At 37.6% G+C, this 1696-nt stretch overlaps 1 protein-coding gene across 1 annotated transcript; it reads right to left on the bottom strand.

Moving 5' to 3' along the window:
- Positions 1-418: 418 nt before the first annotated feature.
- Positions 419-1296, bottom strand: IFNA1 (interferon alpha 1). The gene has a single exon (NM_024013.3). The coding sequence runs from the start codon at positions 1225-1227 to the stop codon at positions 658-660; it is 570 nt and encodes a 189-aa protein (NP_076918.1). The 5' UTR covers positions 1228-1296; the 3' UTR covers positions 419-657.
- Positions 1297-1696: the final 400 nt, after the last annotated feature.

Here is a 1696-nt window from a genome sequence, read left to right as displayed (position 1 = left end):
TAGATGTTTACCAGTCAACTTTTGAGGATATCTGTTTATTTTTATTTCCTCACCTGTCTCAGTTTACCCGCTGCTGAGAGAAATCATTAGTTGCTCCTTCTTCTCATAGTATTTAGGATAACTGATATTAAGTATGATTACCATCTTTAGTTTTATTCCATACAAAAACCAAATATGCAAGAGAGTAGGAAGTAGATTTATTGTATTCAGCTTTATATCTTGAGTACAACATACAACCTGGTTTAGAGAAAGGTCATTTTTACTTACATCTTACATATAATAATGATAAGCAAATAAAATATACCCTTTATTCTCTAATCAGGTTGCACAGTCAGGCTAGGAATTTCATATTAAAGAATGAACACATACAGGAAGTTCCTATAGTAAAAGTTTAATGAACAACACAAAATAATGGATTGAGTAAATATAAGGAACATGTTTTATTACACTAACCACAGTGTAAAGGTGCACATGACGTTATATGAACAAAAATAATTTAAATCTTATGAATAGTTAAATAAATATTTAAATAGATAAATCAGTTTATCAGCATGGTCATAGTTATAGCAGGGGTGAGAGTCTTTGAAATGACAGAATTCATGAAAGCGTGACCTGGTGTATGAGTCAATAAGAATTGTTTTCATGTTGGACCAGATGTTATTCCTTCCTCCTTAATCTTTCTTGCAAGTTTGTTGATAAAGAGAGGGATCTCATGATTTCTGCTCTGACAACCTCCCAGGCACAAGGGCTGTATTTCTTCTCTGTCAGATAGAGAGTGATTCTTCGGAAGTATTTCTTCACAGCCAAGATGGAGTCCGCATTCATCAGGGGAGTTTCTCCCACCCTCTCCTCCTGCATCACACAGGCTTCCAAGTCATTCAGCTGCTGGTAGAGTTCGGTGCAGAATTTGTCTAGGAGGTCCTCATCCCAAGCAGCAGATGAATCTTTTGTGGTAAAGAGGTTGAAGATCTGCTGGATCAGCTCATGGAGGACAGAGATGGCTGGAGCCTTCTGGAACTGGTTGCCATCAAACTCCTCCTGGGGAAATCCAAAGTCATGTCTGTCCATCAGACAGGAGGAAGGAGAGATTCTGCTCATTTGTGCCAGGAGCATCAAGGTCCTCCTGTTATCCAGGCTGTGGGTCTCAGGGAGATCACAGCCCAGAGAGCAGCTTGACTTGCAGCTGAGCACCACCAGGACCATCAGTAAAGCAAAGGGCGAGGCCATCGTAGATATTGCAGATACTTCTGGGCTTGCTGAGATGGGTGACTCTGAACCTTGGGCTCTAGGTTCTCTGAAGGCCTTGCTTCCTGCAAATGCCTTAAATAGGGAACATACTGATTTCCACTTTCTTAATGCTTCTGGGCCACTTTCCATTTCTGTTTTTGCTTTCCTTCATGCACTCTTTACATGAGTTTAGAGCCGTGTTTCTCAAATGTTTTGTTTTTCATTATTGTCTTCCCCATCTTGTTCCCAGAGACTTTTTAGATATCTTTTTCCTAATTGAACCCACCGTGAAAATTTAATAACACAGATACAATATGTATCTATTTATATACTATATGTATATCTCTATAATCAAAAAGTACAAAGTTTAATCTTTGTATTCAATGCAGGTTTAAAAATAACCAAATGAAAAATTTAAGCTAAAAGTTAAATTTAAAATCTATTCAAATTTTTCTTAACTTTATAACTA

The sequence above is a fragment of the Homo sapiens genome, chromosome 9, assembly GCF_000001405.40.
Source record: "Homo sapiens chromosome 9, GRCh38.p14 Primary Assembly".
Classification (NCBI taxonomy): domain Eukaryota; kingdom Metazoa; phylum Chordata; class Mammalia; order Primates; family Hominidae; genus Homo; species Homo sapiens.
Note: the sequence above shows the minus strand (reverse complement) of the source record. Positions and strands in the feature narration are given on the sequence as shown.